Source organism: Homo sapiens, chromosome 11 (genome assembly GCF_000001405.40).
Source record: "Homo sapiens chromosome 11, GRCh38.p14 Primary Assembly".
Lineage (NCBI taxonomy): Eukaryota > Metazoa > Chordata > Mammalia > Primates > Hominidae > Homo > Homo sapiens.
The window spans coordinates 70,668,201-70,691,324 of NC_000011.10; the positions used below are offsets into that span (position 1 = coordinate 70,668,201).

At 53.1% G+C, this 23,124-nt stretch overlaps 1 protein-coding gene across 24 annotated transcripts in view, besides 6 other annotated features; it reads right to left on the reverse strand.

Moving 5' to 3' along the window:
• Positions 1-23,124, reverse strand: part of SHANK2 (SH3 and multiple ankyrin repeat domains 2) — a 785,381-nt gene that overhangs the window by 200,347 nt on the left and 561,910 nt on the right. The gene's annotated exons all lie outside the window — the stretch shown is intronic.
• Positions 1,780-2,307: an enhancer, noted in NCBI's record as "H3K27ac-H3K4me1 hESC enhancer chr11:70516085-70516612 (GRCh37/hg19 assembly coordinates)". NCBI's record gives its function as "activates a minimal SCP1, AML or CMV promoter by ChIP-STARR-seq in primed H9 embryonic stem cells {active_cell/tissue: H9 hESC(primed)}" and the evidence as "EXISTENCE:reporter gene assay evidence [ECO:0000049][PMID:30033119]".
• Positions 4,942-5,469: an enhancer, noted in NCBI's record as "H3K4me1 hESC enhancer chr11:70519247-70519774 (GRCh37/hg19 assembly coordinates)". NCBI's record gives its function as "activates a minimal SCP1, AML or CMV promoter by ChIP-STARR-seq in naive H9 embryonic stem cells {active_cell/tissue: H9 hESC(naive)}" and the evidence as "EXISTENCE:reporter gene assay evidence [ECO:0000049][PMID:30033119]".
• Positions 12,184-12,947: an enhancer, noted in NCBI's record as "H3K4me1 hESC enhancer chr11:70526489-70527252 (GRCh37/hg19 assembly coordinates)". NCBI's record gives its function as "activates a minimal SCP1, AML or CMV promoter by ChIP-STARR-seq in naive H9 embryonic stem cells {active_cell/tissue: H9 hESC(naive)}" and the evidence as "EXISTENCE:reporter gene assay evidence [ECO:0000049][PMID:30033119]".
• Positions 12,948-13,712: an enhancer, noted in NCBI's record as "H3K4me1 hESC enhancer chr11:70527253-70528017 (GRCh37/hg19 assembly coordinates)". NCBI's record gives its function as "activates a minimal SCP1, AML or CMV promoter by ChIP-STARR-seq in naive H9 embryonic stem cells {active_cell/tissue: H9 hESC(naive)}" and the evidence as "EXISTENCE:reporter gene assay evidence [ECO:0000049][PMID:30033119]".
• Positions 19,304-19,825: an enhancer, noted in NCBI's record as "H3K4me1 hESC enhancer chr11:70533609-70534130 (GRCh37/hg19 assembly coordinates)". NCBI's record gives its function as "activates a minimal SCP1, AML or CMV promoter by ChIP-STARR-seq in naive H9 embryonic stem cells {active_cell/tissue: H9 hESC(naive)}" and the evidence as "EXISTENCE:reporter gene assay evidence [ECO:0000049][PMID:30033119]".
• Positions 19,826-20,347: an enhancer, noted in NCBI's record as "H3K4me1 hESC enhancer chr11:70534131-70534652 (GRCh37/hg19 assembly coordinates)". NCBI's record gives its function as "activates a minimal SCP1, AML or CMV promoter by ChIP-STARR-seq in naive H9 embryonic stem cells {active_cell/tissue: H9 hESC(naive)}" and the evidence as "EXISTENCE:reporter gene assay evidence [ECO:0000049][PMID:30033119]".

Consider the following 23,124-nt stretch of genomic DNA (forward strand, 5'->3'; position numbering starts at 1 on the left):
TGGAATTTGGGTCTTTGCAGGTATAATTAGTTAAGGGTCTTGAGTTGAGATCTTCCTGGATTTAGGGAGGGTCCTAAACCAATGACTGTGCCCTTACGCGAGAAAAGCAGAGGGAGGTTGACACCCAGAGGCAGTGCAGAGGAGGCCATGGGAAGGTGGAGGCAGAGGCTGGAGTGATGTGGAGGCTGGAGTGATGTGGCCCAGCTGAGGAGCACCAAGGACTGCAGGCCAACAGCAGAGGTGGAGGAGGAAGACTCTCCCCTGGAGCCCCCGGAGGGAGCGTGGCCCTGCTGTCATCTTGGTTTTGGACCTCTGGCCTCCAGGGCTGTGACAGGTAAGTGACTTCTCTTGTTTTGAGCCCCCTAGTCTGTGGTGATCGTTAGAGCAAAGGCCGGGCAAGTGAGGAAGATAAACATCAATCCACAGTCACAGAAATGTGTGCCTTCAACAGTGCAGGACGTGGTTCTGTGAGAACCATACGGGCACCTGGAAGACTTCCTGGAGGAGGAGGACTGAAGTATACATAGGAGAATGGGTTGGAGGACTGGGGAGGGGACAGAAGAGAAAAGAACATTCCAGACAGAGTGGGGTTGGAAGGTAGGCAGCCGGCCCTGATGTCTGAAGGGCCGTGATGAGGCGGGAGGGCAGGAGCAGCTGACCACACGGGGCTGCAGACGTTGGCTGCCTACTCACCCAGGGCAGTCTAGGGACACAGCTTGGCGGTGACGCACAAGTGCAGGTGTCAGCAGGGCCCCAGCCACTCACGCTTTACCCCAGTTTCACCCATGAGGACTGAAATGGCAGAAGAGCTGTTGCCCTATGGCTTTTCCTGGCGTTCTTTCCGGTGAGGCCCGAATCCTTCTGGAATGACTCAGGGTCAACTTGCACCTGTGCCAGGAACTTCCATCCAATGATCATGCTTCCATCTGAACAATGCACAAGCACGAGTCGGCTGCTGCTGGCTGAGGAGGCTCCCTGGCCATCAGCGTGAACACTGTCGTGCTCCTGCCTAGAAGCCCTGGCTGTTCTCTTAAAGCGGCTGTGAGTGGTCTGTGGGGAACGGTGGATGACAGAGTTCCCACCTCTGCCTCCATGCAGGGTGGGGCTTCCAAGGTCAGAGTGGGGCTGAAGCGACGGTGGTTCCTCTGGCCGGGGTTGGACATCGGATGAGGCACTGATGTCAGAACATGTGCACGTGTGAGGTCCAAGGTCCAGGCCAGCAGAGGAGGGGGCTGCACATCTGAGCATTCGGTGGGGGGCGTTGCACATCCCAGCACTGGGTGGGAAGGCAGAACTGGAGCAGCCGACCCGCCCTGGATGTGCGGAAGGGGCCTCCAGAGCCACCGGGCAGGAGGCAGCGGGGCTGTTTCCACAACCAGGCCCTACAGGTCCAGACTCCAGCTGTCTCCGAGGGTTGCAGGGACCCCCAAATGTGTCTGCAACCTGAAAAATAAAATTCACTGGCTCCAAAATCCAAAGAGAAAACAACAGTGCGGTTAATCTCTGTTGAATTCAGTGTCTCTGATATTTAACACGGGGTCAACGTCACGACCCATTTAAGCTGGTATCCATAAACGCATCACTTCATTGCGTGTAGAACCACTCGGAGGGCAGGTGTTCCCACCTTGCAAGAATCCTTGGGTGTGCTGATGGCGGCTGGGGAATCACAGGAGCTGCTGGGGAACGATCAGTGTATCACTCACGGCCAAACAAGTTCAAAGGCGGAATGATTAAATCACTTCTGAATGTTTTTCATGGCAGAAAGGTACATTGAACATGGGCTGTGGGTGTGATGTCTGATCAGACCCAGGCGGGGACCGCTGGAATGCAGGGGGGTGGAGCAAGGTCCATAGAGGTGGGTGGTGGGACCTGGGAAAGCCAGGAAGGACTCCCCACAGAGAGACTGGGTGGTGCGTTTATTGCCCCTGAAAGTCCTTCCCAGAGCAGCTGGAGCCAGGAGATCTGCCTTCTCCAAGGCAGGGAAGGGCCTGAGAGCAGCTTCGCTAAATCATTCCTGGTATAATCGCATTTCAGTGGCAGGGCCTGGTGAAGGCAGGAACTGGAGCACTATATTAGAAAGAGGATCCTCCAGGGAACGGTGATGGCAGTGGATGTCCTAGAAATTTCCGGGCTCTGCCAATCAGGAAAGATGAGGCTAAGCAGAGAGCTTTCAGCAGTTACGTGGGGGGTGTTGAGGTGAGGACCCAACAGGTGTCCCAGCTCAGCGGAGATGCCAGCTCGGGCGCTTTGGCCGCCGGGTGCGGGCAGCCAGCCCAGCTCACCGTGGCAGAGCTGGCTGCAGGGCAGCACAGAGGGCCGCTCGACAGGCGGGGCAGGCTGCGGGAGAACAGGAGGGTTTCCCCGTCATCTGTCACTCCCAAGGGGCATGGGGGAGCTTCTCAGCCCATGACCACACGTGCAGCTGCTCCCAGCATCCTGCTTCCTGGTCGGAGAGTTACAGTGTGTGATGCTGCTCTCTTGCCCTTCCTGCATAACTCACAGGGGAAATGATGCCCAACGCCCAGTGCCATCCTGGTGCCTGAGTGACAGCCCCGGCCAGCCTGCTCCTGGGGAGGCCATTGCTGTTTCCAGGGCAGGAGGTGATGACTTTGGGCAATTCCTGCACGGAGGGGACTCCTCCTGGCTCCCAGGAGCCACTCTCACCCACAGGCAGGGGGCTGCGTCGCTTCACGTGGCATCAGGAGGGCAGTGGTTCTGTACTCATGCAGCCCGCACACCCGTGCCCAGAGACGTGCGCTGGCGGAAGCCATTTCTCAAATCGGCAATTATGAAAACGCCCTGCCCGGCGCTTATTATGACCATTTTCCTCCTCATTGCTAACATGATAAGCAATGCAAGTTTTTCCTAATAGAAACAATAATGTACAAAGAACTTGATTCAAATTAAATTGTCTCATTACTTTGTAATAAATCACCCACAAGCATTTCCTGAGCACTACCAGGCATGTTACCTGCCAGGAACGGCTGGCGGAGGAGACAGATACGGCTTAACTGCGCTCATGATCATGACGGGGTGTGATCAGCGCTCCCTGCCGAGACGAACGGAAACGTCGTCTAGGAGGGAGAATGCTAGGAGGGAGAATGCCGGCCTTGGAAGCTGAGCACCCCGGTGGAACCCCAGCTTCCCCAAACCAGCGCCACGCCCCTGGCCAAGTTCCTCAACCTCGTCGAGCGCCAGTATCCTCACTTGACGACTACAGATGTCAACCACAGCCTGGAGACCACAGTGGGGTGGGAAGCTCCTTGTTTAAAAGGCCCCTGGCCAGGATTCAGCACTCAGCAGGGGCTGGAAGGCTATTAGCATGTGAGAATGCACCTTAGAACTTGCTTCATTCTGGAGACCTTATGCATAAACAGATATTTTCACTTGTCCCCAGGTAAAAGACTCTCCTACTGAGATCAGCAGAGGCCTGCCCTTGGGTGTCCTTCCTTATGGAGAGCAAGACACACGGGTGTGTTAGCCAACAAGGAGAAAGTCCCCACACTGTTTGTGTCTCAGAGGTGGGCGGGTCTCTGCACACAGGGCTGTGGGCAGATGGGATGAGGGCAGGGGGCCCCCAAGCAAGGGATGCCAGGATGCCTCCCTGTGCTTCCAAAGCTGGCACGGACTCTGCGGTGCCAGGCAGAACACCCAAGTGCTGGCCCAAACCCGAGGAGCTGTCCTGAAGTGAGCTCTTTCCTTCCCCCACAGCCAACCTGTCTGCAAGTACCATGAGTATCTCTATTCTGAGCCCACTGAAAAGTCTCCTCTGAATTCACTCTTTATGTAAAAACCTTAAATCACACTGTATCTCCCCCACTTAAAACACCCCAACAGATCCCCACCATACTTTTCTTTTCTTTTTCTTTTTTTTTTTTTTTTAGAGGGAGTCTTGTTCTATCGCCCAGGCTGGAGTGCAGTGGCGCGATCTTGGCTCACTGCAACCTCCATCTCCCGGGTTCAAGCGATTCTCCTGCCCCAGCCTCCTGAGTAGCTGGGATTACAGGTGCCCGCCACCATGCCTGGCTAATTTTTATATTTTTAGTAGAGACAGGGTTTCACCATGTTGGCCAGGATGGTCTCAAACTCCTGACCTCAAGTGATCCACCTGCCTCGGCCTTCCAAAGTGCTGGGATTACAGGCGTGAGCCACCGCACCCAGCCTCCCCATTATAATCGAGGATAAAATCCAAATTCTCCACCATGGCTAAGACCTTTTGTGATCTGATTCATGCCCCTTCTCCTCCTGACTCCTCCCATTCCAGCCATGCTGCCATCCTCTCTTCCTCCAGCAGGTCACACTCATCTCCACACAGTGCCTTTGCGTTGCCTGTGCAATTCTCAGGACACTGCTCCAGGTCTCCCCGAGCCAGGCTGCTGTCCCTGCAGGTCCCCTGGGTCACCTCCAGAGATGGGCCTTGCCGCCTGGTGGCTGCCGTCCTCCTGTGTCCCCAGCCCTCCAGCTTTTCTCTCTGCTTTGCTTTCTTCTGGCCAGTTACTATGTTTGAAATTGTGATTTGCTTGTTCACTCATTTGCTGTCTGACTCCCCCAGTAGCACATGAGTGCCCCCGAAGGCAGGACGGTTCTGCCCACCACACTCTGCAGCCTTGGATGGTGCCAGCCACCGGTGTTATTTTTGGAAGGAAGGAAAAGTGCTGTTCTAGGTGGAGAAGGCCCACTTTCTAGTCCTGGCTCTGGCAAGAGCTGGCAGTGGGACCCTGGACAGGACCCTCAACCACCCTGAGCCTGGGTTTTCCTGTCTGCAAAATGAAAGACCAGGATATCTGAGCAGAAGCTTCATCAGTGCTCCTGACGCAGTGAAGGAAGCCTGAGCTGGGACCTCCTATGTGGTCTTTGATGCAGGCTGGGTGTCCCCCTGTCCTGATGTTTCCTGACAAAGGGGTTTTCTGGGATATGGGGCTGTCAGTTTTAAAACCAAGATGGTCCTGGACAAATGGGGTGAGTTGGTCGCCCGCCACTGAAGGTCCAGGCAGCCTGCAGCGACAGGTTTGCCCAGGGCACATGCCTCCACTAGCAGCAGGGCCAAGTCACACTGAAGCCTCAGCCTTTGACTCTGAACTGAATGTTCTTTAAAAAAAAAAAAAAATCAGGGGAACAGTACAACTGCCTGGCATTTTGCTGTGAGTGCAGGAAGGGACTGTTGATGACTTTTCCTTCATTCGTTAATTAAAATGACAGGCCAAGCCTGCCCCATCTGTCTGTCTCAAAGCTCGCCCACAAAGACCATGCTGGCGGGCCATGGGACAGGCCACAGGGGTCTCCTTGTGAGGCAAGTTCCCAAGTCCCTCTGGTGGGGGTGGGGAGTAGATGGCCCCACAGCTACAAAACCAGAAATGTCCTCCTCTCCCGGGAACCAGACTCAGTGTGACAGTCACCTGATGTCCTGGGCTTTGTAGGGAAGGCTGATTCTAGGGCTGGGGGCCCACCTGCAGCCCGTGGTCCCCCCACCAGGATCACCTGCCCAACCTGGATGGCACAGAGCTGTTGAGTGGGAGGCCATGAGAAACCCAGGCCAGGCCCATGCCGGAGGAGAAGGCCACTGCTGCCGTCCACCCCTGGCCACCAACCTCCCTCCACTCACTAGGGCCACTGAAAAGTTTGCTTCTCTTCCAAGTGCTGATGCTTCATTAAGAGACTGGTGTCACCAGAGGGGCAGTTGTAAAAACAGTTAAAAGTAGGAGGCTCATATAATTTGGCTATCTGTCCCCTCCAAATCCCATGGTGAAATTTGATCCCAATGTTGTTGGTGGGGCCTGGTGGGAGCTGTTTGGGTTATGGGAGTGGATTCCTCATGAATGGCTTGGTTCCATTCTCCCGGGGCTGAGAGAGTTCTTACTCCTAGTTCCCACAAGATCTGATTGTTAAACAGAGTCTGGCACTTTCCTCTTCTCTCTCTTTCCTCCTCTCTTGCCATGTGATGCCAGCTCCCCTTAGCCTTCCGCCATGAGTGGAAGCTTCCTGAAGCTCTCACCAGAAGCAGATGCTGGCACCATGCTTCCTGGGCAGCCTGCAGAACTGTGAGCCAAAGAAACCTCTTTTCTTTATCAATTACCCAGGCTCAGGCATCCATTACTGCAATGCAGCTGAACTAAGATAGAGGCTGACACATTGTAATGGGAAGTATTTTAATGATGTCCCCTTTTTTTTTTTTGAGACGGAGTTTTGCTCTTTTTACTTGCCAGCTTGGCATGATCTTGGCTCACTGCAACCTCCAACTCCCAGGTTCAAGTGATTCTCTGACCTCAGCCTCCCAAGTAGCTGTAATTATGGGAGCCCGCCACCAGGCCTGTCTACTTTTTGTATTTTTAGTACAGACGGGGTTTTGCCATGTTGGCCAGGCTGGTCTCGAACTCCTGACCTCAGGTAATTGGCCTGCCTCGGCCTCCCAAAGTGTTGGGATTAGAGGCGTGAGCCACAATGTCCAGCCAATGATGTCCTTTGGAAGGGGTTCTGCAAATGTTCTAGACCAGGCAACGGCCCAGAGAGTGAACATTCCAGGCTTTGAGGGTGGATGGGTGGTCCCTGTTGCAACTACTCACTCTGCTAGTTGTGGCACAGAGGCAGCCATGACAATATGTAAATGATGGGTGGGGCTGTGTTCCAATAAAACTTTATTTACAAAAACAGGCAATGGGCCAGATTTGGCCTGTGGGCTGCAGTTTCTAAAGATAGGCTCTAAATATTCTAACGACATTTAAGTCCACACAAATAATACATGTACATGGCATATAACTATGTATAATAAAAACTAAGAAAAGTCTCAATCTTGCTGCAGAAGCCATGCTGACATTACTGTGTACAGGTGTGCCTGGCTTGATGTAACACCTGAGCTCTGGAAAAGAGGCAAGGAGAACGCGTTTTAGAAATGAGATCATCTGTGAGATGCCTGAGAGGTTCAGAAGGATCACATGGGGAGTACTTTCTGGAAAACAAAGAAACACCTCTTTACTTTGTCTAGGTTTTTATGCTCTGGTTGGCTCCAAGTGGGGATAGACCTGAATTCTGGCTTAATGAGTAATAATTCATAATTAGAGTAATTAGTGTAATTATTATGCTACGGCCTTTGAGCACCTTCCACACACCAGGCGTTGTTCTAAGTGTTCTGTGGGTTTAACTAATTGAATCCTCATAATGACCGTATGAGGCAGGAGCTGTGATGACGCTCACTTTACAGGGGAGCAAATAAAGCAGAGAGGTTGAGTGATTTGCACCAGAACACAGGGCTGGAGGCAAAGCCAGGCTGTCTGAACCACTGTGGGTTACTGAACGATAGTGATACTGAAGCACTGTTGATTCCTGGCCAGGTGGGGGCCAGTTCCCCGACAGCTCACAGCCCTCCCAACCCAGACAATGACAGAGAGAAAGGAAAGAACCCTCAGGGGAGGCGTTGGTCCTAGCAGCATGTTCTGGAGAAAGAACTGGAGAAGGAATTGGTGATTTACTGTCCTGCCAGTATCTGAGCTGCTGGGAGGGCACCCTGGGATGCTCTGAGAAGATTTTGCCAGGAGATCCTGCTCTGTATCAAAAAATTTGAAATTGGAAATGGTGGACCAAATGCTGGGCTGGGTAATGCCAGGGAGGAAGGACACGGTGGGGTGAGCAAGGCCAAAGGCAAAGCAAGGCCCCACACCTAAAAATGGGTGCAGGAACATCTGGATAAACGTTTACAGTTCACACCCCATGCTGGTTATGGCTGTGTTTTATGATTCCCATCTCAATGAACTGGCAATGTGTCAGAAGACAAGGCATCTCCTGGGCACAGCAGGTGTGTGCTGGTCTGTGGTTCACACTTTTACTCCCACCTACAACACTCTATACCTGCTATCTCTATCAGTTGAACTCCTATTCATTCTTCAAAGCGCACTGCAATAGCCACCACTTCCAAGAGGACCTTAATGCTGTCCCTCACGTGACACTGTGTGCTTAGAGGGAGGGGACTAAGTCTTCTTTCTCCACCACACCCAGCTCCTGTCACAGACTCTGGCACTCTTCCCAGCTTGCTGCCTGCTGCAGCGACTGGAAAAGCCAGACACTTGCTATTGCAGCCTTTCCTGCAGTTATGGATGGTCATGACCCTATGGAATAGTTTTGGCCAAGGAGACCCAAGGCCAAGCGGACCCGAGGTCTGCTGGGACCTCTGGGAAAGGCTGGACTATTTGGAAAGGGAGTGGGGGTTGGGGAACTGCTCCCTGGCACCCCCTCCTTTACGTTCCTGAGTAGGACGTGCTATGGGGACATCATACTTGGAGCTATGGCTGCCATCTTGCCACCATGAGGGAGAGGCCAAGAGGCCTTCAGAGATGTCACTGCCCGTGCAATGGATGCTAGCTGTGCCCTCCTCTGGACTCGCCATTGTGGTCTCAGCCACTGTGAGTGAGGTTTTTTATTACTTGCAGCCAAATGCTTTCTAATGAACATAATGTGAATATTTGGAGCTTGGAGTGAGGGGGCAGGGTAGTTATTAATTAGAAGATACGGGCAAAACACTGGGATGGCTTCCTGACAACTTAAGAGGTCTCCGAGTTATATTCTGGGTTGGGAAACACTGACCCAGCCCTTATTCCTTCAAGGACTCTAGTCATTGGCAAGGAGGATTCATGAGCCCCAGTGACACAGATGGGGGCCCTGCTCTATATTCAACTGTCCAGAGAAGATCTAGTCACAACCCCTCATCTCAAATGAACTTTGGTTCAGAAAACAGAACTAAGGAAAAGTGGTTTCCTTGGACTCAACCGGTCTGAATTTCCCACTAACCACAACACTGACTTCCTGAGCAAGCTGGCTAATCCCACGTATACAGGCAATTACTTGTACATCACAGGGCTGGGGACAACACACACCAAGGCTGAGAAATCTCTAAAAAGCCAAGTGAAGTAAAGGGAGACAGAGTTTAGGTACAGAGGGGAACTTAGCAACGGAGTGGATCAGAAGATACAGCCAAGGCCCACGGTCTGGTCTGGACCTGATGAGTGGATGTCTGAGGCCAGACGCTGCCTCTGCTAATGGGTCCCTCTGCTAGACCTGAGGACCAGCCTGTCCACAGACTGGGCTTCCAGACACCCCAGACAAGCCACACAGTTGCAAAGTCTTTGTCATTCAATGCATCCAGCTGAGCGGCCAACATCCTCCTCCTGGATTCAGCACGTGGTGCCGAGTCTCCTCTATCCTTTAAGTGTTCCTAGAACCCGGGCCACCACCCACGATTCTGAAAATTAGCCTCGCTCGAATGAAACCCTGCCTTCCCTCTGACCTTCCATGACACCACTGATGCCCTGTCTTTGTGACCGGACCCTTGGCCACAGCATGGGGGCTGAAGCGTCTCCCAATGAGGTAAAGGTAAGGCTGGTTGCCCCTGGACAACCCTGCTCATTGCACCCACCCAAGGAAGTCCACCATTAATATGACCACGTCCACTGCTGAGATGACCTCCAAGAAGCGGGCAGGCAGGGAACCCTCAGAGCACCAGGTCCAACACAGCACGTCCCACCAGAAGCCCTGTTGAGGGCTCCGGAAGCCAGGCTCCCCCTGAGCCCGAGATGCCCACTCCCTCTCACACTGCTCTGCACTCGACCACCAAAGCCAGGGTCCTTGCGTACCCATTTCCCAGATGTGTGCAAACTTCTCGCTGAGGAAGACACATCTTAAGAACGAGCTGCTTGTCCCAGTTGTAGGCTCGCTCCTTCTTTTTGCAGAAGGTTCCAGCCCTCTGTTCCCTTCCACCATCTCCACTGGCATCCTCACTGCCATTTCCCATGGTGTCCAGTTCATTTATTTTGTTAGGGGGCCCCCTCCAAAGACAAAAGACAACCCCTTGCACCAATTTTCCCAGGTCTTCAGCCCCAGCCAGTTTCTCACTTTAAATCTTCCCCATTCTCCAGGACTTCCTGATTTCCTTCTCATTTTCCTTCTTGTTCTTTTGTTGTGTTGTTGTTTGTTTGTTTTTGAAACAGAGTCTCACTCTGTCACCCAGGCTGGAGTGCAGTGGCACGATCTTGGCTCACTGCAACCTTCACCTCCTGGGCTCAAGCAATTCTTCTGCCTCGGCCTCCTGGGTGGGAATACAGGCATGCGCCACCAGGCCCAGCTAATTTTTGTAGAGATGGGGTCTCGCTTTGTTGCCCAGGCTGGTCTCAAACTCCAGGGCTCAAGGAATCCTGATGCCTCAGCCTCCCAAGGTGCTGGGATTCCAGGCATGAGCCACCACGCCCAGCCTCCTGCCTGTTCTTTATTAAAGCTGGAGTTATCTGTCCTGCCTCTCCCTGCCTCTCCCTGCCTCTCGACCTGCTCATTTCCAGTCTGCTAAGAACAGGCTTTTTTTTTTTTTTTTTTTTTTTGAGATGGAGTCTTGCTCTATCACCCAGGCTGGAGAGCAGTGCAGTGGTGTGATCTCAGCTCACTGCAACCTCCACCTCCCGGGTTCAAGTGATTCTCCAGCCTCAGCCTCCCAAGTAGCTGGGACTATAGGTGTGCACCACCACACCCAGCTAATTTTTGTATTTTTAGTAGAGACAGGGTTTCACCATGTTGGCCAGGTTGGTCTCAAATTCCTGACCTTGTGATCCGCCCGCCTCGGCCTCCTGAAGTGCTAGGATTACAGGCATGACCCACTGCGCCCAGCCCAGAACTGGTATTTTTCTAACTGCGAACTGTTTGGTCCATGCCCCTGACCCCAAGTCCAGGCTGCACAGGTATTCATTTGCCTTGACATACATCCTCCAGATATCCCCAGGTTACCTCCAAGCTCCAACACACTCACTCTCCTTAGCCAGGGGATCTCAGCATGCTCGCTAGGACAACCTTCCTCCCCCGCCCTCACATGACTGGGAAGAAGAAGACACCAGGCCCGTAACAGGTGACGGCACGGGGTCATCCGTGCAAATGCAGGTAGTAAAACACGGCTGACCGCAACGCTGGGCTCTGGCAGGCCGGGTACGCACACCATGCCAAGCCCCATGGGGAGCCCCTGCCCTCATTCTCTCTCTCACACAACACACTGTGGAGGGAGGCACCATTTTCTTTCCCATTTTACAAACAAGGAAGCTGCGGCTCAGAAAGGTCCAGTGAGGAGCTCAAGGTCACACAGCTGGCAAATGGCGGAGCTGGGCATCCAACCCCCGAGGCCAACTGCAGAGCCTGTTCCCACCACCAGCAGCCAGCCAGCCCCCTTTTGAGGAGCAGGGCAGGCCTATCCCCGGACCATCAGGGAGGTGGGAGATCTCCCTGCACCCTCGGCCCCCTCTTTTGGGGTGTGCACCTGCCTGGGGCAGTCCCTCTGTGCCTGGCAGCAGCGGAGGCTTCCAGCCATCAGCTGTCTCCCCATGACCAGTACAAAGGGCTGTGTCCCATTCCCCTGTGCTGGGGAGAAGTGGGTCAGGGCTGGGCCTGGGTCCTGCCGAGGAACAGAGGGCACCTCCACTGAACGGGAGGCTTGGGAGGCCCGGTGCCATCTGTCGTGCTGACTATACGCCCCAGGGCCTGGAACGGTGTCTGGCGCATTTTGGGGTATCATGAGGATGTCTGTGGCCTGAGCAACAGAGGCCACCGCTGCCCGCTGCCACACCCCAGCCAGGCCCTCTGGCCCATGGAGTGACAACTAGAACCGGTGCCCCTCCCTCGGGACCCTGGACGTCCACCTGCCAACAGTTGTGTGATCCATTCCCAAATCCACAGAGCCCAGGGTGACTGTGGCCTTTGGGGCTGCACAGTCCCTTCCCAGACCCCTGTGATCACTGTGACTGGAAATGACTTGGGGTCCCACGGAGGCCGACGGGTGGGACAGGGGTCGGTGGAGCAGGCAGCATGCAGTCTGCACAGTCTGAGAGAGGCGGCATTTCCTGTCCTTTTCTACTGCATGTCTTGGCCCTGGGGAAGGGAGCAGAACTCCTGCAGCCTCGGTTTCTCCATCTGTAACGTGGGGCCATCGCACCCCATCCCAGGGAGTTACACACTCACAGCTAATGTCGGCCAAAACAGCCTCTGTCAGAGCGGGTTCTCAACCTCTTCAGTCTATGCATTGAATGCTTGCAAGCACTCTGTGAGTGTCCTGTGACGGCTGTAACAACGTAACACAAACTTGGCAGCTAGACACATTTAGCCTCTTACAGTTCTGGGGGTCCGAGGTCTCACTGGGCTAAGACTGAGGTGTTGGAGGGCGGGCTCCCCACCCAGGCTCCAGAGGAGGGGCTGCTTGTGTTCTCTGGTTTCTAGTGGCCACCACGTTCCCTGACCCATGATCATTCCTCAGATCACTCCAGCCTCCGCTCCCATCGTCCCAGCTCCCCACTCTCTGCCTCTGACCCCCTGCCCTCTGATGAGGATCCCTGTGATGGCACAGGGCCCACCTGCATTCGCCAGGACCATCTCCTAATCCACCACCAGCTGATTAGCTGACAAGTCCCCCTCTGAAGCTTCATTCCCCTTGGCCGGGTGAAGTCACACACTCACAGGCCCCAGGGGTTAGGACATGGATGTCTCTGGGCTCCACAGTTCACTTGGCCATGCCACCCCAGCCTCTCTCTCTTTCCCTGGTGAGGCTCAAGGTGGATGAGGCTTTAATATGGAGTGGGGGTGTTTTCAACAATCTTTCGCAGATTGTGGGCTGACTCATCCAACTGCAGGCACCGTCCTCCTTGTGGGGACTCTCAACAGGATGCAGGCACACCTCAGATTGGGCACCAGCAAGCAAGCAGGCAGGTCCTGCGGCCGAGATACTCCCACACTCTTCCTAGTAAATCACACTCTCCCTGGGTGTGAACCATCCCCGTCAATGCTCAGACCACAGGCCAGTACCCACTTAAAAGGCAACTGGCTCTGGGGTGCTGGTGGCCCAGCTGACAGGTGCCCTGACTTGCAGGAGGACTCAGAGGACACTGGCTGCTCGGGGATGCCTCTGCATCTGTGCCTTGGGGCTGCCGGCACCTGCTGGGAGGGTCCTGCCTCTTGAAGCACACAGCGGCACCGGCTCTGCCAAGTCCCCCGTTCTCTCTCTGCTGCTCAGCGTGGGGTCCCTTTTCTCTTGGCAAAGTCTGACGGCGGAAACCCCCTGAATAAACAGCTCCTGCACAGAGATGTTTCTCCGCGGCTCAGGATTCGCACTGGAGGAGAATTCAGAAGTCCAAGCCCATCATTTGATGCTGCCAAATTTCCGCCAGCCTCAGCGGTAACCTTCTCTGGCAAGGTTAAAGGGTCTATCAGATTCCCGGCCCAGAAACTAATTAGATAAAGAGGAAACCTGGGCCCCCTGGGGTATCTCCTCAAAGGCCGAAAGGTGCACATCCACCACATCCACCCCACCATGCCCAGAAATGGGACCCACCAGCGGCACTGCCTCAGCCACCCTGGACTGTAACCATCCAGGCTCTCAGCCGGATCCCTGCTGTACCTCCACAGGGGAGAGGCCAGCTCATTCGCATGAAGGGAGACTGAACGGACGCTGGGGCACGCTGAGCTCCCCAGATTACTCACAGCAACCCTCCTGCCCATGCCTTTTGGTTTGGGAGGCGACCCAAGCCCAGTACCTAATGGAGTGACTGGGGTGGGAGCACGAGGCAAGGGTATCCAGGCTCCACAGAGAAACCCCTTTCTGGATACCAGAGCTCTAGGTTTTAGCAACAGAAACCACCTCCAGAGATCTTGAACACTGTGGGGTTCTGCACGGGCTTCAGGTCAAAGATGTGGAGGGGCGGACATCACCGGGCTTTATAATAACAGGGTCTGGGCATGCTCGGGGTGAAATCTAAGGGAAACGCATCTGGGTGTGGCCTTCCCCCAGGCAAGGGGCTGCGGCTTTTCCCTTTCAGAGAAACAGGAGTTCGACAACCTGGAGAAGAGTATAAGGCAGCCCAAACCTGCTGGAGGGTGCTTTGTGAGAGGGCCTTTGACCCACAGGCCAGGTTCCAGGACTGATCCGACAGAAACGCACCCTCAAGAGCACCACAAGGCCGGGCCAGGGCTGCTGCTGCTACTGCCACTGTCTGAACTGGAAATATTTGAGCCATCTCCAGGGGACATGCTGGGTCCACCCCACCCCCGGACGGTTACTAGGAAGGACACTGTCTACACGAACCCATGGGCATGGAAGCTGGGCACCAACAGAGTGCAGAAACAAACTGCAGGATGCTGTGTGGCGGAGCCCGCTGTGCCCCACAAATACATGAGAGGAGGACACAATGATGTTGCAAAGGCTGGCGGGAGGATCACCGAAGGTCAGGAGTTTGAGACCTGCCTGGCCAACATGGTGAAACCCTGTCTCAAACAAACAAATAAATAAATAAGGCTGGTGGGCACAGCCAGCCATGCACAGTGGCCCCTTCTGGGAAGTGGGACCAGGAGGATGATATTGACTTTCTATATTTCTGCATTCTTTGAATATCTTGAGATGGAAAAGTGGGCACTGTTGTTTTCTAAAACAGACAATGAAGATGGGAGGGAGAGAGGGAGGAAATGGGGGAGGCAGGTAGGAGGAAGTTTCCGGTTTGCCCAAGGCCACAGAGAAGGAGGCCTGGAGCCCTTGTCCTCCCAGGTCGGGGAGCATCCTGGTTCCTTTGTTGAACTCACTCTCTCAGGACCCAAGAGCAGCCGTGGATGGAAGAAAATGAAAAGACAAAACGCAAGTCCTAAGCACAGGAGGATGACGTGAGGATGGGGAATGACACTGCTCTTCACCGCACCACCGAGGCATGGGTCAGGTGTTACCCTGAAGGTGAGGAAACCGAGGCCAGGGGTTAGGTGACAAGTCTAAGGCAGATTGGCTGGAGAAGGGCAAAGCTGGGACGTGGCCGAGAGGGTTGGTGTGACCGCTGAGCCACATCCCCTGTAAGACGCTGTCTCCCTGATGGCCTCAGTTTCCCTGCTGGTCTCTCCACCAGGCTCACCGCTGGCTCAGGATTTGACAATTACCGCTCCCTCCTTTTTTACTGAAATTTTTTAATTTTATTTTTAGAGATGGGATCTTGCTTTGTTGCCCTGGCTGGTCTCAAACTCCTGTGCTCAAGCAATCCTCCCACCTTGGCCTCCTGAAGCTCTGGGATTCCACCGTGCCTGGCCACTTCCTCCTTTCTTTTCCTTAGTCCTAACCTTCTTCCTGTCTCTGGCCAGCTCTCACCTCAGCGAGCTCCACTCTGCCGTTTCTGTGTAATTCAGCAACATGCCCTCTTCCCCACCCAATCCGTGCTGCTTTTAACACTTTCCTTCCACCCCTGGAACTTGCCGCCTTCTACCGATGGTGCATCTCTGTGTCTGTTAGCTCACTGATATGCTGCTACATGCTCTCAGAGTTTCCTGTGGACACTGTAACAAATTGCCACAAACCGGGTGGTTTAAACAGCAGAAATGGGTTCTCTCACAGCGCTGGAGGCCAGAGGTGCAGTATCAGCATGACCACTGTGGTGAAATCAAGGCATCGGCAGGGCCACGCTCCCTCAGGAGGCCCCAGGGGAGGAACCCTCCTTGCTTCTTGCCGCTTCTGGTGGCTGCAGCAGGCATTCCTTGTCTTGGGGTCAATCTCTCTAATCTCTGCCTCTGTGGTCATGTGGCTTTCTCCTCTTCTAGCTTCATGATCTCCTTTTTGTTTTTTTTTTTTCAGACAGAGTCTCCCTCTGTTGCCCAGGCTGGAGTGCAGTGGCGTGATCTTGGCTCACTGCAAACTCCGCCTCCTGGGTTCAAACGATTCTCGTGCCTCAGCCTCCCAAGTAGCTGGGATTACAGGCCTACACCACCACGCCCAGCTAATTTTTGTATTTTTAGTAGAGACAGGATTTCACCATGTTGGCCAGGCTGGTCTCGAACTTCTGGCCTCAAGTGATCCACCTGCCTCCACCTCCCAAAGTGCTGAGATGACAGGCGTGAGCCACTGCACCTGGCCCTGGATGCATAGTTTTGAATAAATGAATGAAAAGAGAGAGAGAGAGACCTGGGTCCCTGTCCCTGCTACTCACTCTTCATATCCACGGCCCCTCTCCCAGGGTCTTCACTGTCCCCGTCCCCCTACCCAGTCATCACCCTTGAAGTGTGAAAAATGGCTCCCAGAGCCTGAAACCATGAAGGTTCAAAGGCACACTCCTGGCTGGGCACGGCGCATGCATCCCAGCAGTATGGGAGGCAGAGGTGGGAGGATTGCTTGAGGCCAGGAGTTCAAGACCAGCTTGGGCAACCTAGAGAGACCACATCTCTACACACACACAAGATTAGCCAGGTGTGGTGGTGCACACCTGTACTGTGGCCCCAGCTACTTGGGAGGCTGAGGTGGGAGGATCACTTGAGCCCAGGAATTCAAGGCTGCAATGACCTATGATTGCACCACTGTGCTCCAGCCTGGGCGACAGAGGGAAACCCTGTCTCTTAGCCCCCTACCCCCACCCCAAAGGCATACTCTCTGGTTTCCTAGGAGAATCCGGTTTGGTATCTCACACTCCCTTCACCCAGGAAGCACAGGCTGTGGAAAGAGTGTCAAGGTGGGAGCAGGTAAACCCTTGGCCCCTGTCCGTCACTCAGTGTGACTCAGTGAGTGCCTGAGTCACACTCAGGGCCAGGGACAGTGCCCCTGGCCCTGCCAATCCAGTGAGCGTTGTTGGTCCCAGCCCTGCCCTGTCTGACCGGCTGCAGCCCTTCTGATAGGTCACATGCCTCACTCTGCCTCAGTGTACCCTTTAGGAAGAAGAAGGGACTCCAGAGATCCCTCTTGGCTCAAATGCAAAGGTGAGGATAATTTGGGAAAAGAGGCAGGACAATTACTTTGTGCATTTTGGCAGTGGGAATGCTGTGCTGCAGAAAGGTGAGGCAAAGGACCCTGGGCAAGGCCTGACCCCAACACCACCTTAGTCCCTGCCTGAGGTCCCTGACCTCAGTCCAAGCCATTCCCCCAGATGGTGTGGCCAGAGGACTCCAGTTCCTTAATCCCTGCCTTCCCATCTGACAGTCCCAGAGGCTTGGCGAAAAAACCCCCAAAAAACAAAAAACTGGCAAATGAAACCCAGGAAAGAAAAAAGCTCCCAACCTCCAGTCTGGGCCCCTCTCTTCCAATCTGCTTTTGAACTCGCTTTTTCCACCCTCCTCCTGCCGCCCAGAAAAGAGCTGCCATCTTCCTGGCTCCTCCCCTTCACTCATCTTGGAGGCCTCAGAGCTCCACGGGGCCAACTCCAGGCCAGGGGACCTGGGACACATGGTGCCAGCTGTTATACCAGGCATTAGACCACCGAGCCAGCCTCCACCTTGACCTTGGGGGCAGTAGAGTCAGGTTTTAATCAGCACATGCCCTGAAGAGCTAAGCCCTGCTTGTTGGTTGGCAGGGCCTGGGAGTGCAGCCTCTAGTCCTGACCCATCTGACCAAGCTCCCTGACAGGGAAAGAGAGGGAAGCAGATTCCAAGCTGGACCCTCCCGAAGACTTGGATGGGCTGCATCTCTTTGTAATCCTAAGCATGGGGACAGGTGCCCAGTGCTTCATTCTGTCCTGGAGAGAACGGGGCAGCAGAGCCCTAGGGAGGACAGGGGGCAGTCTCAACTCCTTAGACTGCCCTGAGCACTTTTCATGACATACTCCTTGGCACTGGGGACACAAGTCTCCTTCTCACTGGGGCCATGCTATCCTCTCCTTCCCATGAAGTGAAAATTTATTGAGTGCTGACAATGTACCAAGTACTGCCTATAGAGAGGTCTGAGCACACTGCCCAACTTTGGTCCCCACCCTTACCCCAAGTCACAGATTCAGTCAGCCACCCACCCACTCACCCATCCATGCATCCATGGGTCCACCCATGCACTCATCCATCCATCTGTCTACCCATTCATTCATCCACCTATCCAGCCATGCCCCCACCCACCCACCCATCCACACACCCATCCAGCTCCCCTTCCTTCCTTCCTTCCTTCCATCCATCTATCCATCACCCATCTACCCATCCATCCATCCATCCACCCATCCACACACCCATCCAGCTCCCCTTCCTTCCTTCCATCCATCCATCTACTCATCCACCCATCCATCTATCCATCCATCCATCCATCCATCCATCCACCCACCCACCCACCCACCCATCCACACACCCATCCAGCTCCCTATCTATCCAGCCATCCATCCTTCCTTCCATCTATCCATCATCCATCTACCCATCCATCCACTCATCCACCCATTCACACACCCATCCAGCCCCTCATCTATTCATCCATCCATCCATCCTTCCATCTATCCATCATCCATCTACCCATCCATCCATTCATCTATCTACCCATCCACACACCCATCCAGCTCCCCATCTATCCTTCCTTCCTTCCAGCCATCCATCATCTGTCTATCCATCCATCTTCTCACCTCTCTCTCCACTCAACTCTCCATTCTCTGAGAGCTGGACATTTGCCAGACCCTGTGCCAGATGCCAGGGAGAAGGAGACAAGTCAGTCAGTCCTGGTCCTATCTGGAGGAGACACAGGTGTAGAAGGACAGGGGTGGGCAGAGAAAAGGCAGTCCTGCATGGCCCAGGTAATGTTGAGTCAGGGAGGTCTGATTGCTTCTCACTCTAGCTCTACAAGTCAGGCACCAAAGACACCTCCCTGCTTCCTGGAGGAAGGCCCAGAGCACCAGGCTTTGGGCAGAGGCGGGGATCAGTGTGAGCATTTCCCGAAAACCTGCTGCTTCCCAGGCACAGCCTTGGGTACCCCTCCAGAACCAGTCTCCTCATCTGCTCCCTGGAGAGGCACCCCTTGGCCTTGTATGCCACTGATGGCCCCTGTCTGGACCCCAACTAAGAGCACTCCTGCCCATCTTGGGCTGCCCTCTGGATACCTCTGCCCACTCTGGGTCAGGCCCTGGAATCCCAACCCTGCCCAGCCTGTCTCAGGGTTTGCAGTTTTGTCTAAAGCGCATTCATTCATGGTGACCACTGGCCAGTGGTTATGGCAGTTTCAGGCCCAATGTGTAGAATTTTATATTCACAAGAGATCTCAGCAATGATGTAGGCATTTTACAATGTAGCCATCTTACAAATGGGGAAACTAAGGCCCGTGCAGGAAGGTGATGTCAGAACTGGGACCAGGACCCCTGGCACCTGAACTCCCAGGCCTAGGCCTATCAGGCTTGAAACCTGCTTGCTGGAGCTTCAGATCAGCACACTTCATTACCCTGTGTAAGACCCCGACTCAGAGCACAAGGTTGGAGCAGGGGTGCAGAGGCACGGATATTGCCCAGGGATGAGCCGAAGCTGGCTCTTAGGAGCTGCCAGGGCTGACTGTGGGCGCCTCTTTCCAGCTTGCTCAGTGACCTCACGTTGGCAGCTCGGAATGGGCCATTGTGGGGCAATTTACACCACTGAAATCAGTAAATGCTACCAATCAAGGTGGATATAAGACAGGAGCACGAGAGGGGCCAGGTACAGTGTGGGGGTAGGGGGGTGGGCGGGGGCGGTGTGGAGGCAGAGGTCAGCTTTGGCAGCTATTGTCAGAACAGCTCCAGAGAGAACATGACTAACTCCTCTCCTTTGCCTGCCGGCGGGGCTCAGGGATTTTAGGAGACAGAAGATTCCTGCGCAGCTACAGAGCTCCTGAGCTCTGGGGGCCCCTGCCCCATCCAGGTGGGGAGCAAGGCAGGCCTCTGGGAGTGCCCTCAGTGGGGCCCTGCCTGAAGGTGCTGAATCCCAGCCCCCCAGGCCCTCCTCTGCTGCTGCTCCGATGGCCCCACCCACCACCGGTGTCCCCACCATCCACCCACTCGCCACCTGGGAAATGTACTAAACGTGGTCTGAGGCTGCTCTGAGCCAGGAGCCTCCCTGTGGTGAGGAACTCAGCTCCCAGCCCCAAAGCAGGGGACTTGGGTCCAGAACAAAGCAGCCAGACCTTCCTGCCTGGCCCCACAGAAAAGGCCGTCATGAGGGTGTCCAGGCTGCTGAGAGCTTGGCCTCCCTGCTCTCCAGCCAGAGTGGTCCTGGAGCCACTTACCCCAACCTGAAGACCAAGTGCGCCCAGCCCCAATGCAGAACAGTTGCTGAGCTGGATCCCCCCTGCAGGGCATGAGGAGGCCCCTCCCCTTCTCCACCCTCAGAACCCATCCAACTGCTTTCAGAGGGTCTGAGCGTACCTCCAGCCAGAAAAACCTACCCTCACCTTGGTCTGGGGCCAAGGTCCAAAGTCCCCAAGTCAGGTGCTTGACGTCATAAAACTGCAAGGGGAAGTTGGCCGTGGCCAGGTCGGAGCACACCTAATTTCGTGCACCTAATTTCGCATCACTGAGTACTGGAGAAGGAGGAGTCCAGGCCTGGCCCAGCCAAGCCAGCAGCCCCGGCCATCCCAAGAGACTCATGACCCACTGTGCACCCAGGAAACATAGCAAGTGTCAGCTTTATGCTTGGCTCTTTGAAATTATATATTTCACAGATGATATCTAAGAAATCTGAATCTCAAAGCTCCGTGACAGAGGCAGAATCACAAATGCTCATTTGCAGATGGCACAGGCAGAGCTGAGAGTGGATGATCTTGTCATGGGGCTGGCAGGTGGAGAGGCTGGGAGGGAACACGGGCTTGTCTAACTCATGAGTCTAGGCCCTTTGTGCCTCACTGCCCCCTTTCCCATCAGAGAGCCTCCTCCCCTTTCATGACTCGGCAGGGACACTGCGCTCCTGGGACCATGTCTCCCCACCACAGCTCTATCACCTGGCCACCTGTGCAACTCACTTCAAGATAAACAGACCAGCACTTCAATTTTCAATTTGGATCCTACTACTTGTCCCATAGGTATGCATGAGAACCTATGTCTATCTTTGCTTAGAACTTCTGGTGGGAGTGGGGCCAGGAGCATGTCTCTAAGCCTCTCTTTTTGGTGTTTGACCTGAGGAACGTGCAGTTCACCTGAGCTCTGCCGTGAGAGCAGTTACGTGCAGAGATCTGCCCATACCTGGCTGGCTGGTTTGTTCACAAAGAGATCCGGAAACCACTTCTCTCAAGCTTTAGAAGCTTATCCCATTGTTGAAAGGAAAAGCTCTTGGACAGTAACAGTGTGATTGACAAAATAATAACTTACATAGACAGGTTGGAAGTTAAGGACATTTCCCAGAATACAGAGCAAGAAGGCAAAGAAAAAAATCTTGAGAAAGAATAAGTGACAAATGGGGAGAACGTAAATGGTCTAATAGAGGAAATCCAGAAAGGCTGAACTGAAAGAGGAAGCGATGGAATTGTCAAGGAGGTAATAAAATACCTTCTTGAAGTGGAAGCTGCTTCAGTCTGGAGGGGTCTCCAGAGCAATGAGCTCAATGTGCAAAGGAAGCGCACACTCACATCCACCATCAGATTTCAGAACACTAAGAAAAAGTAGAAAATATGACATTCCTACAAACTTCTAGGGAGGAAAATAAAGGGTCGCTACCTACAGTGGAATGAGAATCAGACAGTGCTATAACTTCTTACTGGCAATTCTCACCTGCCAGGGATAAACAGGAACATTGAATAATGAGAAAAAGATCAATTCAGAACTGGGAACAGAACCCCCAGACACCTGAACTTCCAGGCCTAGGACCATCACCAAGAAGACAAAACAGTCCTGAATGAGTACAAACCTAACATCAGAACTTCAAAATACATGAAGCGAAATCCGAGAGAACTGAAAAGAAAAAATAGACAAACACAATAATATTGGAGAATTTCAGCATTCCTCTCTCAAAAATTGACAACAGAGGACAAGTCAGCAAGGCTCTAAGCCATGAGTAGAGACGGGATGGTGATGAAGCAATGCCTGGAGAGTTTTGAAACTGGAGTTCTACAACCTGGAGAACATTTGATAACTAGGGAATTTCCAGACAGGGAGGTTACATTCCAGATACCTTTTGTTGAAGTGGAGGATGTATCCTGACAGAATAAGGGCAAAGAAAAGAAGCAACTCACGTATCCACTAGCTCAGTGAAGTGAAGTTGCAGGATGATCGTCGTGTACTGAGAGCTGGAGTTCAAATTGGAGCAGAATGTCAGAGGACTCCAACAAGAAGAGGACAGATTCCAGTGATACATCAGAAAAAGAATGATATTTTAGTGGTATGCTCAAGAAGCCATAATTTTTCTCCCACGAGAAAAAAAAAGGCAATCAGAAACTCCAGGAAAAACAAAATCTTCATGTGAAAATCATGATCCTAATATTAAGCTGAAATGTAGAATTACTCTGAAACACTGATAGAGTGGAAAAAAAACTCATTGGGTTGTGATACTATTAGTACCCTTCTTCTCATAGGTCTGTAAAGAGGAATTGGAATACTAACCCCATTTGTATTATCATCATAATGTAATACTTCCCATGTTTTTTTTTTTTTTTTTTTTTTTTTTTTTTTTTGGTGTCTATGCTGGTCTCGAATGCCTGGGTTAAAGCGATTCTCCTGCCTTGGCTTCCCAAAGTGCTGAGGTTACAGATGTGAACCACTGTGCTCACCCTCCACTGTTTTTTAACTTCTGAGTCCAACTTGGAGACAAAACTTAGAACCCATAAATATAAATATAAATATAAATATAAATATAAATATAAATATAAATATACCAAAGGGTCGAGTGATAGTGTCTAAAATGTATTAAACAAGAGAGAGAAGTTTAAGAATGTTATTTAAAGGTAATCCATTAGCATACTGGCAAGAACTATTCAAAATTGGAGGTGAGGGTCAAACTATGAAAGCCTCATTTTTTCCAGCAATGTGTCAAGGATGTTTCACATTTTAAAATTAAGAAATACGGGAGTAATCATCACGTTGGGAAGATACCCACCAGAAGAATGAAGCAGACATAATTTAAAAACTTTTTTTTCTGCCAAGTGGGGCTGTGTGGATGAGGCTGGGTCAGAGTGGGCACATAATAATTTATTTCTACTCTTGGCCCTATCTCTGTAGTTTAATTAATTACTTTCATTACATGCATGCAGTACTTGGATGAAAATTTATGGAGGGAGGAAAAATGTGAAACTGAGAGTTCACTGAGAATGGATGAGGGGAGGGGTCCCTGGGGCAGCCGGACTGTGGGGTGCTAAGGGGAACAGAGAACATGGACAAGAGCCAAGGGGCCAGCCCAGGGAAACAGCAGGAGGACGAGGAGAAGACAGGACTCCTTGACCCTTGTGATGGACTAAAGGAGGGAAGGAGGGAGAAAGGC